Raw genomic sequence first — 15,896 nt, 5'->3', positions numbered from 1 at the left:
TATGTTTGGGTATCTTAATCTTATCTAGCAGGAGGTTAAAGCTGTAATTGATAAAGATGAAACAGTCATTTATATTAGCCAGGTTAAGGGGATGTTTGATCTTTTTGTGGTTTAGTCAGTGTTCTTGGGTTTTTTTGTTTGTTTGTTTGTTTTTTGAGATGGAGTCTCGCTCTGTTGCTCAGGCTGGAGTACAGTGGCATGATCTTGGCTCACTGCAACCTCCGTCTCCCAGGTTCAAGTGATTCTCTCACCTCTGCCTCCCGAGTGGCTGGGAGTACGGGCACATGCCACCACGCACAGCTAATTTTCGTATTTTTAGTAGAGACAGGGTTTCACCATGTTGGCCAGGCTGGTCTCGAACTCCTGACCTCAGGTGATCCACCTGCCTCAGCCTCCCAAAGTGCTGAGATTACAGGTGTGAGCCACCTTGCCTGGCCAGTGTTCCTGTTTTGGTCTGTGTTCAGGTATGATTATAGAGTGGTCTTGTTTTTGTCTTTATCACAGTTGCAGAGTGGCCTTGTCTGATGTTGATATTCTCTGAAATTATTTATTTACGCTAGGACACCAAGGCCTACCTGAGAGTATCAGGCTAACCCATTATGTCAGGGTTGCTTTGTTTTCTTTTTTTTTTTTTTTTTTGAGACCGCGTCTTGCTGTGTTGCCAAGGCTGGAGTGCAGTGGCACGATCTTGGCTCACTGTAACCTTTGCCTCCGGGTTCAAGCGATTCTTGTGCCTCAGCCCCCCGACTAGCTGGGACTACAGGCGCGTGCTACCATGCCTGGCCAATTTTTGTATTTTTAGTAGAGACGGGGTTTCACCATGCTGGCCAGGCTGGTCTCAAACGCCTGACCTCATGTAATCTGCCCGCCTCAGCCTCCCAAAGTGCTGGGATTACAAACGTGAGCCACCATGCCCAGCCACTTTGTTGTTTTTCAAGACAGCATTTTGCACTCAGGGTGGAGTACAGTGGTGCAGTCATGGCTCACTGCAGCTTCAAATTCCTGGGCCCAAGGGATCCTCCTGCCCCAGAATCCTGAGTAGCTGGGACTATATCACATGCCATCATACCTGGCCTTTTTTTTTTTTTTTTTTTTTTTTTTTTTTGAGACGGACTTTCATTCTTGTTGCCCAGGCTGAAGTGCAGTGGCTCAGTTTCAGCTCACTGCAACCTCCGCCTCCCAGGTTGAAGTGATTCTCCTGCCTCAGCCTCTTGAGTAGCTGGGATTATAGGCGCCCACCACCAAGCCCGGCTAATTTTTTTGTTTTTTAGTAGAGACAGGGTTCACCATGTTGGCCAGTATTGGCTGGGTATAGTGGCTCATGACTGTAATCCAGCACTTTGGGAAGCTGAGACAGGAAGATCACTTGAGCCCAGAGATTCAAGACCAGACCAGCCTGGGCAATGTAGTGAGACCCCATCTCTACAAAATATTTAAGAATTAGCTGGGCATGGTGGCTTGTGCCTTTGGTCCTAGCTACTCAGGAGGCTGAAGTGGGAGGATGGCTTGAGTCTGGGAAGTGGAGGCTGCAGTTAAATGGGATTACACCACTGCACTCTAGCCTGGGTGACAGAGCACGACCCTGTCTCAAAAAAAAAAAAAAAAACCGCAAAAGTACATAGTATTTGTTGAAAGAAGAGCCTAAAAATGTTATACCCTTTTGCCTAAAATGTTCACACCTGAGAATTTATCCAAAGGAAAAGTCGTTTTTAACAAGATAATAATTGGAAGCTACTTAATCTAAATACTAACAATCGAATACTTAAGTAAATAGTGATAAATCTGGATGGTATTATGCAGACATTAACATAATTATGGAGACTGTAATGTGCGAAGAATTCAGTACGTTTAATGAAATGAGATACAAAATCCTGTCTCTGCTGATAATAGCTGTGCACAATTAAAATATATATGTGGTTGAAGACTAAACAGGAACCTGACAAATGAAAAACAGATTTTAAAAGAGAGAAAATTCTGAGTGATCTTTCTTGCATTTTAAATTTCTGTATTGTTGATAAAGTATCGTTTGTACAATAAACACTCATCTTTTAAAACTGTTATTTCAGCTAGATGAACCTTGCGTTTTCTTATCCTAAAATGACGGTGAGAAGGACCGAAGTAGGGGCTCAAAAATACAGTAGTAGAATATGCAACAAAAGGAGTTGCTCCTCTTAGTCACACAGTGAGTTTTTTGGAGCTCAAAATAGCCCCTGGTGAGGGCTCTTGATTCTCAATGGGCAAATACACAACCATATGGTCCTGGTCCTCAAGTCTTAATGCTGTTATACTTAGGAAGTAAGTGTGAGATAAGAGAGATATTATTATTATTATTATTTTCTTTTTTGAGACAGGGTCTTACTCTGTTGCCCAGGCTGCAGTGCACTGGCGCAATCTTGGCTCACTGCAATCTCCGCCTCCCAGGTTCAAGCGATTCTTCTGCTTCAGCACCACCAAGTAGCTGGGATTACAGGTGTGTGCCACCACGCCCGGCTAATTTTTGTATTTTTAGTAGAGATGGGGTCTTGCCATATTGGCCAGCCTGGTTTTGAACTCCTGACCTCAGGTGATCTGCCCACCTCTGCCTCCCAAAGAGCTGGGATTATATGCATGACCCACCACGCCCGGCCATATTATCATTATTTAACACTATTGTTAAGAGTTTATAATCTCTTATACCAGATACGTAATTACCGTCTCTGCTCTCCAGTAGTTTGCAAGTTAGGGATAAAGCTCCCTGTTAATTCTGAGTAGAAGGCCTTATACCTGGAAATGTCACCAGGGAACAAAAACCTGAAAGTTTCCTGTGTACAGATTTTCTCCTGAATAACTTACACGTTAACTGTTAGCATCCTTGAGTATATAGAAATCAATTTCAGGCCGGGGGCAGTGGCTCACTCCGGTAATCCCGGCACTTTGGGAGGCTGAGGCAGGTGGATCACTTGAGGCCAGGAGTTCGAGACCAGCCCGGCCAACATGATGAAATCCCGTCTCTACTAAAAACACAAAAATTAGCCGGGCATGATGCCGCATGCCTGTGGTCCCGGCTACTCGGGAGTCTGAGTCAGGACAGTCGCTTGAACCCGGGAGGCAGAGGTTGTAGTGAACTGAGATTGTGCCACTGCACTCCAGCCTGGGCGACAGAGTGAGTCTGTCTTTTTTTCCATCTTGGAAAAAAAACAAAAGAAATAAATCAATTTCCATCTTCTATAGGTAGGAAGAAATAAAGATTCTTATGAAATCAGACTATTGGACTAATCCTTTTATTTCCCCTTTCATTTTTCAGATTGGTATCACTTGGAAATAGGTGATGGGATTTGTAAACATATAAAAGCAATACTAAATAGGGTTCTGATTTAACAGTCCAAGAATAATTTCTTTTTTTGTTTGTTTTTTTGAGACAGAGTTTCGCTCTTGTTGCCCAGGCTGGAGTGTGATGGCGCGATCTCGGCTCACTGCAACCTCCGCCTCCTGGGTTCAAGCAGTTCTCCTGCCTCAGCCTCCCGAGTAGCTGGAATTACAGGCATGCGCCACCACACCCAGCTAATTTTGTATTTTTAGTGGAGATGGGGTTTCTCCATGTTGGTGAGGCTGGTCTCGAAATCCCAACCTCAGGTGATCCTCCCGCCTGGGCCTCCCAAAGTGCTGGGATTACAGGTGTGAGCCACTGCACCCAGCAAGAATTTCTTTTTAACAAATATTTGTTTAGATAGATGCTTAAGGTAGCTAAACCTCTGTTGTATGTTGTCAAAGTTTATGTGGTGACTTTGGTGGGTACTAGGTAAAATCAAGGTGTCTTGCCAAAGCTGGCTTTTAGGATTCAGTCCATTTTTAACAGAGACCTCCAAAATCAAGGATTAGAGGCCGGGCGCGGTGGCTCACACCTGTAATGCCAGCACTTTGGCCGGCCGAGGCAGGCAGATCACGAGGTGAGGAGATCAAGACCATCCTGGCTAACACGGTGAAACCCTGTCTCTACTAAAAATACAAAAAATTAGCCGGGCGTGGTGGTGGGCACCTTTTTTTTTTGAGCTCCATCTCAAAAAAAAAAAAAATCAAGGATTAGAAATCAATTTACTGCTAGATATAAAGCTTATAAGAATATGTCACTTAAATCCAAAATAATTGTAAATCCTAATGTGGCCCTCCTTCCACGAAGTCATGATTCTGTGGCGAAACATCAGAATTCAAGACCTATTATGAAGTACCATTACTTATCTTAGCTAGCTAGTAGTGTAGTCCATCTTGTGTAGGAACAGTTTAGATTCACAGCTCAGAGTGTCTAAGATCTTGGCATAGCGCAGACACGTGGACTGATTGATGATTGATTTTTGAGACGGAGTCTCGCGCTATTGCCCAGGCTGGAGTGTAGGGGCACGATCTCGGCTTACTGCAACCTCCGCCTCTTGGGTTCAAGCGATTCTTCTGCCTCATCCTCCCGAGTAGCTGGGATTACACACCCGTCACTGTGCCCGGCTAATTTATGTATTTTTAGTAGAGATGGCGTTTCGCCATGTTGGCCAGGATGGTCTCAAACTTCTGACCTAGAGTGATCTGCCCCCCTCAGCCTCCCAAGTGCTAGGATTACAGGCGTGAGCCACCGTGCCCGGCCGGATTTATTTATTAATTTATTATTATTATTTGAGGCAGAACCTTGCCCTGTTGCCCAGGCTGAGTGGTGCCATCTTGGCTCACTACAACCTCCGCCACCTGAGTTCAGGCGATTCTCCTGCTTCAGCCTCCCAAGTAGCTGGGACTACAGGTACGCACTACTATGCCCGGCTAATTTTTGTATTTTTAATGGAGACAGGGTTTCATTCACTTTGTTGGCCAGGCTGATCTTGAACTCCTGACCTCAAGTGATCTGCCTGCCTTGACCGCCCAAAGTGCTGGGATTACAGGTGTGAGCCACTGTGCCCAGCCAGATTTATTTATTTATTTGTATTATTTATTTATTTATTTTTGAGACGGACTCTCTCTGTCGCCCAGGCTGGAGTTCAGTGGCGCGATCTCTGCAGCCTGCCCCTCCTGGGTTCAAGCGATTCTCCTACCTCAGCCTCCCGAGTAACTGGGATTAAAGGCGACTGCCACCATGCCCGGCTAATTTTTATATTTTTAGTAGAGACAGGGTTTGCCATGTTTGCCAGGCTGGTCTTGAACTCCTGACCTCAGTTGATCTGCCCACCTCCCAAAGTGCTAGGATTACAGGCGTGAGCCACCGCACCCAGCCCTGGATTTATTTATTTAATTTTGTTCCTCCTTATTCCCCAGTACTAAGAGGAGGCCCTGGATTTCAATAAAAGAATGTTCATTGCCATGTTTTGTATTACTAAAAATTTGGACGTGGCATAAATGTTCAATAATAGGGAATTAATTCAATTAATGTCAGTATATTCATGCAGTGAACTACCTTATCGCCGTTAAAGGTATGTAGTGGCAAGGCTTGATGGCTTATGTCTGTAATCCCGCACTTTGGGAGACTAAGGCGGGAGGATTGCCTGAGCCCAGGTGGGTTTTATTACAACATGGGCAACAAAGTGGCACCCTGTCTCTATAATTAAAAAAGATGTACAGTAGTTCAAACTGTTCACCCATCACTAGTTCCTCAGTGTAAGTTCCTAAAATTGGTATTACAAGCTATATATATATGTCTATGGGGAGACTGCAGAGACTATAGGGTCCTGCTATGTGTATATATATACTTTTTTTTTTTTGAGACGAAGTCTTGCTCTGTCGCCAGGCTGGAGTGCGGTGGCGCTATCTCGGCTCACTGCAACCTCCGCCTACCGGGTTCAAGTAATTCTCCTGCCTCAGCCTCCCAAGTAGCTGGGACTACAGGTGCAGGCCACCATGCCCAGCCGCCCGGCTAATTTTTTGTATTTTTAGTAGAGACGGGGTTTCACCATGTTAGCCAGGATGGTCTCGATCTCCTGACCTCGTGATCCGCCCGCCTCGGCCTCCCAAAGTGCTGGGATTACAGGTGTGAGCCACCGCGCCTAGCCGCTATACATATTTTTAATGTTTGATACATATTGTCTGTCCATTTTCTGTTGTGTTTCTTGGTCTTGGCTCTCTCCTTTGCTCCTCCCCACTTTCTCAGATTGGGATAGTGAATAGATTCTTCTGCTTTGATTTCACTTGTCTTTCCTTTCCCAACCTCTCCACAGACTTAGGTTGCCCACCTGTCTTTTACTGACTGCAACATAGTGTGTCTTGTTGTCTGTGTGACCTGCGTAGAATTACTTTCCTTTCTCATTGGGCTCCAGTCTGAAACACCCTTGAATTTTAGAAACATTGTAAGGTTACCCCTTCCTCTTTTTTTTGTTTTTGTGTTTTTTGTTTTTAGAGGCAAGGTCTTGCTCTGTCACCCAGGCTGGAGGGTAATGGCACAATTATAGCTCACTGAAGCCTTGACCTCCTGGGCCCATGAGATCCTCATGCTTCAGCCTCCCAAATAGCTGGGACGATAGGTTCCTGCTACCACATCTGACTCCTTTTTTTTAAGCCATCTTTGTCTTTGTGTACACTCATTTACATTTGTCTAGATACACATGAATGCATGCAGAGATAGACTCACTAGTCTTACATGTCTCTTTCCCCCCATCCTAGAATGTAAACTGCAGGGAGCCCGAGCCTCGAGCTTACCTTGCCGCGCTGCTAGTTTCTGGCAGGGATCCCAGTAGGTTAATGTGGAGCAGCCTCATTCTGGGAAATGTTAGTGGAGCTGCATGAATCCTTGGACCCTTGTCAGAGAGCTTGGGAAGAGATTCTGTGGCAGCTCATCCACATCCTGTTTCTTCCCATGAAGAAGCAGGGTGGCTCTATCCTTCAAGTGGTTCATTGTCATTCCTTTGCAATAATGAGGGTGAGGTTGGGGGCACACTCTTAGTTTAGCTAATTTTTGGATTTTTAGTAGAGACAAGGTTTCACCATATTGGCCAGGCTGGTCTCAAACTCCTGACCTCAGGTGATCCACCAGCCTCAGACTCCCAAAGTACTGGGATTACAGGTGTGAGCCACCGCATCCAGCCAAGATCAACTTTTTAAGGTTCCACATATAAGTGAGGTCATTCAGTATTCTATACTTGGCTTGTTTCACTTAACATAATGTCCTCTAGGTTCATCCATGTTGTCCAAAGGATTTCATTCTTTTTTATAGCTAAACAGTATTGCATTGTGTATCTGTGCCACATTTTTTTTTTTGAGACGGAGTATTTGCCCTGTCGCCCAGGCTGGAGTGCAGTGGCATGATCTCGGCTCACTGCAAGCTCCGCCTCCCAGGTTCACGCCATTCTCCTGCCTCAGCCTCCTGAGTAGCTGGGACTACAGGTACCCACCACCACGCCCGGCTAATTTTTTGTATTTTTAGTAGAGACGGGGTTTCACTGTGTTAGCCAGGATGGTCTCGATCTCCTAACCTCATGATCCGCCTGCCTTGGCCTCCCAAAGTGCTGGGATTACAGGCATGAGCCACTGCGCCTGGCCTGTGCCACATTTTCTTTATGCATTTATTCACTGATGCACACTTCGGCTGATTCCGTATCTTGGCTATTGTGAATAATGCTGCAGTAAACATGCAAATTCAGAAATGCCTAATGGAAGAGTTTTAGGGTAAGGCCTGGGAATTGTTTTTGTTTTGTAGTGTTTTGTATTGTTTTTTAAAGAAAATTCAGCCTTGGTGCGGTGGCTCATGCTTGTAATCCCAGCACTTTGGGAGGCTGAGATGAGCGGATCACTTGAGGTCAGGAGTTTGAGACCAGTCTGGCTAATATGGTGAAACCCTGTCTCTACTAAAAATTCAAAAATTAGCTGGGCACAGTGGTGTGCACCTGCCATCCCAGCGACTTGGGAGGCTGAGGCACGAGAATCACTTGAACCCGGGAGCCAAGATCACGCCACTGCATTCCAGCTTGGGTGACAGAGCTAGACTCTGTTTCAGAAAAAAATAAGAAAAAATTCAGGCCGCGTACAGTGGCCCATGCCTGTAATCCCAGCACTTTCGGAGGCCAAAGCAGGCAGATCACCTGAGGTGAGGAGTTTGAGACCAGCCTGGCCAACATAGTGAAACCCTGTCTCTACTAAAAATACAAAAATTAGCCGGGCGTGGTGGCAGGCACCTGTAATCCCAGGTACTCGGCGAGGCTGAGGCAGGAGAATTGCTTGTACCCAGGAGGCAGAGGTTGTGGTGAGCCAAGATCATGCCATTGCACTCCAGCCTGGGCAACAAGAATGAGACTGTATCTCAAAAAATATTTTGATCAGCAGTTTGGGAATCCCTGGTCTAAAAGCTACATGTTATGGTTGCATTGTCTCACACAACACAAATATGTGAGTGGGCAATTAATTTTGTTTCAGGAAATAATTTGAGGATTATCTGGTTAGGGATCATTTGTTTATTATTAGTTTATTTTTTGAGACAGAGTTTCGCTCTTATTGCCCAGGTTGGAGTGCAATGGCGTGATCTCAGCTTACCTCAACCTCTGCCTCCCGGGTTCAAGCGATTCACCTGCCTCAGCCTCCCGAGTAGCTAGGATTACAGGCATGTGCCACCACACCCGGCTAATTTTGTATTTTTAGTAGAGACAAGCTTTCTCCATGTTGGTCAGGCTGGTCTCGAACTCCCAACCTCAGATGATCCGCCCTCCTCGGCCTCCCAAAGTACTGGGATTACAGGTGTGAGCCACCACACCCAGCCAATATTTTTTATTTTTTGTTTTTGAGATGGATTCTCACTCTGTCGCCCAGGCTGGAGTGCAGTGGTGTGATCTCGGCTCATTGCAACCTCCACCTCCTGGGTCCAAGCAATTCTCCTGCCTCAGCCTCCCGAGTAGCCAGGATTACAGACTCACGCCACCACACCTGGCTGATTTTTGTATTTTTAGTAGAGATGGTTTCGTCATGTTGGCCAGGCTGGTCTTGAAGTCCTGACCCCAGGTGATCCGCCTGCCTTGGCCTCCCAAAGTACTGGGATTACAGGCGTGAACCACCACGCTCAGCCTGGGATCATTTGTTTAAAAGGATAAGAAACCCACTCACATTTATTGGAAAGACGAGTTCACAAACCCCAAGAACAGAAAGTATTATTGGATCTCAGAGAGAAGTGGAAACAGGAATTGAAAAGCCACTAGGAACCAAGGATGTCCATGTTTCCTGTCTTTTTTTTTTTTTTGAGTTGGAGTCTCACACTGTCACCCAGGCTGGAGTGCAATGGCACGATCTTGGCTCACTGCAACCTCCACCTCCTGAGTTTAAGCAATTCTCCTGTCTCAGCCTCCCGAGTAGCTGGGATTACAGGCGCCCGCCACCACATCCAGCTAATTTTTTTTTTTTTGTATTTTTAGTAGAGATGGGGTTTCACCATGTTTGCCAGGCTAGTCTTGAACTCCTGACTTGAAGTGATCCACCCGCCTCAGCCTCCCTAAGTGCTGGGATTACAGGCATAAGCCACTGCGCCTGGCCCATGCTTCAAGTCTCAAGTTTTCTTTTCTCCAAGGACTGGCTTTGGTAAAAAGTGGCCACCCGGGCGGTTTGGTCTAGTGCCACCAGCCAGTTACATATTCCCTAAAGAATCTGAATGGCCTAGTCCAATCTAGCCTTTGGACTGATTGTCCTGAAACTCCCTCTAGACTGTGCTGTGATCAGGGGGTCTAGGCTTATAGCAAATAAAACAGCTACAGAGCCTCACCCTCACAGGGATGTGGGGGCCTACTACAGTAGTTGGGCAGGCCCTCTGAAAGGTGACTGTTGTAAATGCTTAAGTAGTTGCTGGGGCAAGATTGTAGAATCAAATAAGATAAATTCTCTGCACTTAGAATTGGGAGAGAGTTAATAGCTTTATGAGGAAGACAAATAAGTAAATATTTTAAATCAGTGCGATATGGTCTAAGTGTTGTGGGTAGAGGGATATCTTGGGAGCCTACAAGAGAGGCACTTGATCAGCCTGGACATTTAGAGAGTAGTCCAAGAGGACATATCTGAACCGAATCATGAAAGATAAGTACATGTTGGCCAGGTAAAAGAGTAGGAGAGGCTGGGTGCGGTGGCTCACACCTGTAATGCCGGCACTTTGGGAGGCTGAGGCAGGTGGATCACAAGGTCAGGAGTTCCAGACCAGCCTGGCCAATATGGTGAAACCCCATCTTTAGTAAAAATATAAAAATTAGCTGGGCGTGGTGGTGCACGCCTGTAGTCCCAGCTGCTCGGAGGGCTGAAGCAGGAGAATTGCTTGAACCCAGGAGGCAGAGGTTGCAGTGAGCTGAGATCATGCCACTGCACTCCAGCCTGGGCGACAGAGCAAGACTTGGTCTCAAAAAAAAAAAAAAAAAACAGAAAAGAATAGGAGAATCATTTCTGGCATTGTGAACAGCATGAGCATGAAACAAAATAATTATATTTCATTGAAGAATTTTTCATGTATGATATTTATAAGCAATTATTTCTAGAGTTTGAAGTCCATGGCAAGAGGTGATGATAGTAGAGGCTGGACTGAGGAGACTCTTGGTTTTGTTTTGTTTTGTTTTGTTTTGTTGAGGCAGGGTCTTGCTCTGTCACCCAGGTGCGAGTGCAGTGGCACCATCATGGCTCACTGCAGCCTTGACCTCCTGGGCTCAAGTAGAGACAGGGTCTCACTGTGCTGCCTGAGCTGTTCATAAATTCCTGGGCTGAAGTAATACTTCTTTCTCGGCCTTCCAAAGTCTGGCCCCGAGGAGAGTCTTAATGCCATGCTAAGTATCTCAGATTTAGGTGACGGGGAGTCATTGGATGTTTTTTAGTTGGGGACTGGCATGGGAAGATTTCCATTTTTAGGAAGTTGACTCTGCTTATAATAGAATAATTTTGATAGCGGTGTTGCCTGAAGGCACAAAGACTAATTGTGGTTGTCCAAGGAGAAGTGATGAGTGAGGAAGCAGAGGAAGGAGTCAGCTGTAAGAATATTTAGGAGGTAGGTTAGGCAGGACTAGGATGATGGAAATGAGGGAAAAGGAGTAATTTAGGATAAAATCCACACTTGAGTGACAGGGTAGATAGTGGTGGTGTTAGGAAAGTGAGCAATTTGAGGAGCAAGGTTATTTGTTTTGGGCATATTCAGTTTCAGATGCTTGTGGGATGCATCAGCAATGATGCCAGTTAGGCAGGGAGTCTGCTGCTCTCAGGTAGTTGCCAGTTTGAGAGTGGTTTGTCCCCTTCTTCCCCCTGCTCCCACTCAGTCTCTGACACTCTTCTAGCTACTCCTTTCTCTCTCTCTGTCTTTAATAAACATATATTATATATATTTAAATATATAAAGTACATATTATATATACATATATAATTATATATAATTTAAATATTTATATATGTATCCAGTGTAATGCCCCCACCCAAGGTGTTGGACATGGTGGTAGAGCCCTACAATGTCACCCTCTCCGTCCACCAGCTCACAGAAAACACAGACGAGACCTTTTGCATTGATAAGGAAGCTCTCTAAGACATCTGCTTCCGACCCCTAAAGCTGCCCACACCCACCTATGGTGTCCTGAGCCACCTGGTGTCTGCACTGTGAGTGGGGTCACCACCTGCCTGAGCTTCCAGGGCCAGCTCAATGGCCATGAACAGGGTCCTATTCCCCCGCTTGCACTTCTTCATGTCTGGACTCATCCAGACCATACAGGACAACCAGCAGTACTGAGCCCCGATGGTGCCCAAGCCCATCCAGCGGATGTTTGATGCCAAGAATATGATGGCTGCGTGGGACCCCCCTCTGTGGCTGTTGCTTAGCAGCTGCCATGTTCAGGGGCCGTACGTGCACGGAGGAGGTGGATAAGTAAATGCTTAATCTCCAAAACAAGGACAGCAGCTACTTTGTTCATTGAATCCCCCACAAGGTGAAAACAGCTGTCTGTAACATCCCACCCTGGGGGCTAAAGATGGCTGCCACCGTCATTGGCAACAACACAGCCATCTAGGAGCTGTTCAGGTGCATCTCGTACAGTTCACAGCCATTTTCTGGCACAAAGCCTTCCAGCACTAGTACATGGGAAGTGGCATGGATGAGATGGAGTTCACTGAGGCTGTGAGCAGCATGAACATGTCCGAGTACAGGATACCACAGCCAAGGAGGAGAGAGAGTTTGAGGAGTGGGCCTATGAGGAGGTGGCCTAGAGCCTTCTGTTTTTGGGTAAAGGGAAGAAGTGATGTGAACTTTTTATTCACCCATAGTCTGTTCTGTGATAGCCATGTCTGTGTGTGCACTTGTTCTTCATGTCTTGACATCACAGCTCTAAAGACACTCCAATGAAACCATTTTCCTAGTGAAAAAAAAAAAAACCATATATATATATATATATAAAAACATATACATAAAATACATATATGTATTTGTTTGAGATAGGGTCTTGCTGTTTTGCCCAGGCTGGACTCAATTTGTGATCCTTATGCCTCAGCCTCCTGAGTAGCTAAGTAGTTGGGACTACAGGCACTTGCCACCTTGTCCACCTCATTCATATATATATATATATATTTATTTATTTATTTTTTTTGAGACCAAGTCTCACAGTCTCACACTGTTGCCCAGGCTGGAGTGCAGTGGCTCGATCCCGGCTCACTGCAACCTCCGCCTCCTCGGTTCAAGCGATTCTTCTGCCTCAGCCTCCCGAGTAGCTGAGATTACAGGCGTGTGCCACCATGCCCAGCTAATTTTGTAAGTTTAGTAGGGTTTTCACCATGTTAGCCAGGCTGATCTCGAACTCTCAAGCTCTGGTGATCCGCCCGCCTTGGCCTCCTAAAGTGCTGGCATTACAGGCGTGAGCCACTGCGCTCGGCCCTTTTTATATTTTAAACTTAAGACTCACCTAGTTTCTCCTTTCATATATCTTCTGTGTAAGCAGCAGGTTTATTTATGTAAAGGTTTGACATGTTTGACTTCAACATGAGAATTGCTGACAGGATTTTATTTCAGCCTCTTAGGCTATAAGGTGTATCTATTAGGGCAGATATTATTTCTCTCGTTCATAGCTGTGTTCATAACACTTAGAACAGTACTGGAAAATAAGTGAGTGTCCGAAGGAATGAACTGTTGAATCACTGAAGAGTTTGACTCTTCTAAGGGCTGTCCTTTCGCTAAGACTGATTTTTCCATAAAGCATTTCTCTAAGTTGAATCTTGGAGGGTAAAGAGGTGGAAGAGAGCCTTTCAGGCAGAGGTAGCAGCAAGAGCAAAGGCAGGGAGGAATAGGACTGAATGGGATGTGTGTGTATAGAGAACAGCCATGAGATACTAATAATTCTTCCTTGTCGTATGTCTCTGGTCATTCCAGAAAACTTAGTAATATTAATAGTTATATTAGTAGCCATGATGTGTTCTGGGAATTGTGTTTCGTTTAAAAGTTTCTGTGCATGGTGTGGTTAGGTGAGGATTCAGTGTATAAAATATGACCAAACTGACAGAAAACTGTGTTGGTCTTCCTCTTTGTGTCCGTGGCCTAATAGAAGGCCTCTTGGAAACCTTCTCTGAATCCCAGGCAGAACTTACTGCTTCCTAATCTGTGTTCATGTAGCATATTATTGCTATCTCTAATATTGTGTTATATTGACTTATTTCATGTTTCATGTCATTAGTAGTCCTGACCATGCCTTTAATAATTCCTAGGGTCTAACATGTAGTAGTTGTTAATTAAATGTTGATGAACAGTTGAACAAAAGGATGTTTATACCCTGTATTGGCCACGTTAAATTTATGTTCAGCTTCTGTATCCATTTTTTCTTGTAGCTATTTGTCGTAGATGTCCAGACAAGCCAGATCACCAAGATCCCCATTCTGAAAGACCGGGAGCCTGGAGGTGTGACCCAGCAGGGCTGTGGTATCCATGCCATCGAGCTGAATCCTTCTAGAACACTGCTAGCCACTGGAGGAGACAACCCCAACAGTCTTGCCATCTATCGACTACCTACGCTGGATCCTGTGTGTGTAGGAGATGTAAGTTTTCCCAGTAGTTGTAGTTGGAGGGAGCCTTGTTTTTAAACGGGTCTCAGTGATTAACATGGACCCTCCTCTCATCAGCCCAGAGTGGGGACTGGACTCCCCATAGGGCACAGTGTATATTTGATAAAGGGGCAAGCAGCACACCTCAGGGGCCAACAGTATTGGGTTGCTGTTTGAATCCATAGTGTCCACATACTTCCCACTGCCCATAGTCAGAGAGTAGCAGTTTACTAAATCATCCATTCATTCATCAGGCATTTATTGAGTCTTCTATGGCTAGGCGTTGTTTGAGACATAGCAGTGAACAGAACAGATAAAGCCCCTGTCCTCTTGAAGCCTACATTCTAGTGGAGGGTGACATATAGACAAAACATAAACCATATAAACTAATATTTACCAGTAATACATCAGAGTGTGATAAGTGCCATGGAGAAGAATAAAGGCAGCATAAAGGGACTGAGAGTAAGGTGGAGGATGCTGTATCAGAAGATAAAGTTTCATTGATAGGATGACGCTTGAGCAGGGAGACTTAAAGGAAATGAGGGTACAAGCCATGTAGATGTCTAGATGTCTGGAGGAAGAGAGTTCCAGATGGAAGATGGGACCCAGAGGTAGAAGGCAAGAGCTATGTGTCCACTACCCACAGTAGTGCCAATTTCATTCCAGCTTTGAGCTCCTCAAGATAGAAGGTAAAGATTGATCATTCTCTGTGGGTTGAGACCACCAGAGATCAGAGTTGTAATTTCTACAAAAATATTTTCAGTCTGACTTGTATGCTTCTTTAGAGAGTTTATTACAATCCTTATTTTACTAATTTCTTATTTTCCTCCCTGTACCTGTTACTCCCTGCTCTCCAAGGATGGACACAAGGACTGGATCTTTTCCATCGCATGGATCAGCGACACTATGGCAGTGTCTGGTAAAGTTGCCCTTTTATAGGGAGCTTTTGATGTGGCAGGGATTGGGGGCTAGAGATTGAAAAGGGATAGTAGTGTGATAGGAAACAGCCCAGCCGGGCTCAGTGACTCACGCCTATAATCCCAGCACTTTGGGAGGCTGAGGTGGGTGGATCACTTGAGCCCAAGAATTTAAATTAGTTGAGTGTGGTACTGCATACTTGTTGTCCCAGATACTCAGAAGGTTGAGGCAGGAGGATTGCTTGAGCCCAGGAGAACCAGGCTGCATCAAGCTGTGATCGTGCCACTGCACTCCAGCCTACATGACAGAGGGTGACCCTGTAGAATAATAATTTCTTATTTAGTGTAAAAGTGATACACATTTATTGTAAGAAAATTTTAAAATATAGGCCGGGTGTGGTGGCTCACACCTGTAATCCCAGCACTTTGGGAGGCCGAGGTGGGTGGATTATGAGGTCAGGAGTTCGAGACCAGGCTGGCCAGCATGGTGAAACCCTGTCTCTACTAAAAGTACAAAAAATTAGCTGAGTGTGGTCGTGGGCGCTTGTAGTCCCAGCTGCTCAGGAGACTGAGGCAGGAGAATTGCTTGAACCCGGCAGGCAGAGGTTGCAGTGAGCTGAGATCGCGCCACTGCACTCCAGCCTGAGCAAGTGTGAGACTCCATCTCAAAAAAAAAAAAAGGATGGATAGATAGATAAGATAGATAGATAAAAAAGGAAGTAAGGACCACCCACAAGATCTCTATCCAGAGATAACCACTTTTTTTTGTGGGTTGTTTCGTTTTCTTTTTGAGACAGTGTCTCATTTTGTCACCCAGGCTTGAGTGCAGTGGCATGATCCTAGCTCACTGCATCCTTGAGCTCTTGGGCTCAAGTGATCCTTCTGCCTCAGGCTCCCAGGTAGCTGGGACTATAGGCACACACCTTCACACCCAGCTAGTAATAACGACTGTTGACATTTTAAAATATAACTTGCTAGTCTTTTTTTAGTACCTTTTTTCTTTTCCTTTAGACACAGGGTCTT

General features: G+C 45.4%; 1 protein-coding gene and 2 pseudogenes across 1 annotated transcript in view, besides 1 other annotated feature; 2 read left to right on the top strand and 1 right to left on the bottom strand.

Annotated features, from left to right (window-relative positions):
* DCAF12 (DDB1 and CUL4 associated factor 12) overlaps window positions 1–15,896 on the top strand; it is a 40,312-nt gene that overhangs the window by 5,390 nt on the left and 19,026 nt on the right. The window contains exons 3-4 of the mRNA NM_015397.4: window positions 13,744–13,950; window positions 14,815–14,875. Of these exons, the coding sequence (NP_056212.1) occupies window positions 13,744–13,950; window positions 14,815–14,875 (268 nt within the window). The remainder of the gene's footprint in view (window positions 1–13,743; window positions 13,951–14,814; window positions 14,876–15,896) is intronic.
* Window positions 2,973–3,074: a silencer, noted in NCBI's record as "fragment chr9:34118233-34118334 (GRCh37/hg19 assembly coordinates)". NCBI's record gives its function as "represses an EF-1alpha promoter that drives an FKBP-Casp9 reporter gene in an ReSE screen in phorbol 12-myristate 13-acetate-treated (for megakaryocytic differentiation) K562 erythroleukemia cells {active_cell/tissue: K562(+PMA)}" and the evidence as "EXISTENCE:reporter gene assay evidence [ECO:0000049][PMID:32094911]".
* On the top strand, window positions 11,342–12,135 carry TUBB4BP2 (TUBB4B pseudogene 2; annotated as a pseudogene).
* TUBBP4 (tubulin beta pseudogene 4) lies at window positions 11,856–12,110 on the bottom strand (annotated as a pseudogene).

The sequence above is a fragment of the Homo sapiens genome, chromosome 9 (assembly GCF_000001405.40).
Source record: "Homo sapiens chromosome 9, GRCh38.p14 Primary Assembly".
NCBI lineage: Eukaryota > Metazoa > Chordata > Mammalia > Primates > Hominidae > Homo > Homo sapiens.
This window is presented reverse-complemented; position numbering and strand designations above follow the sequence as displayed.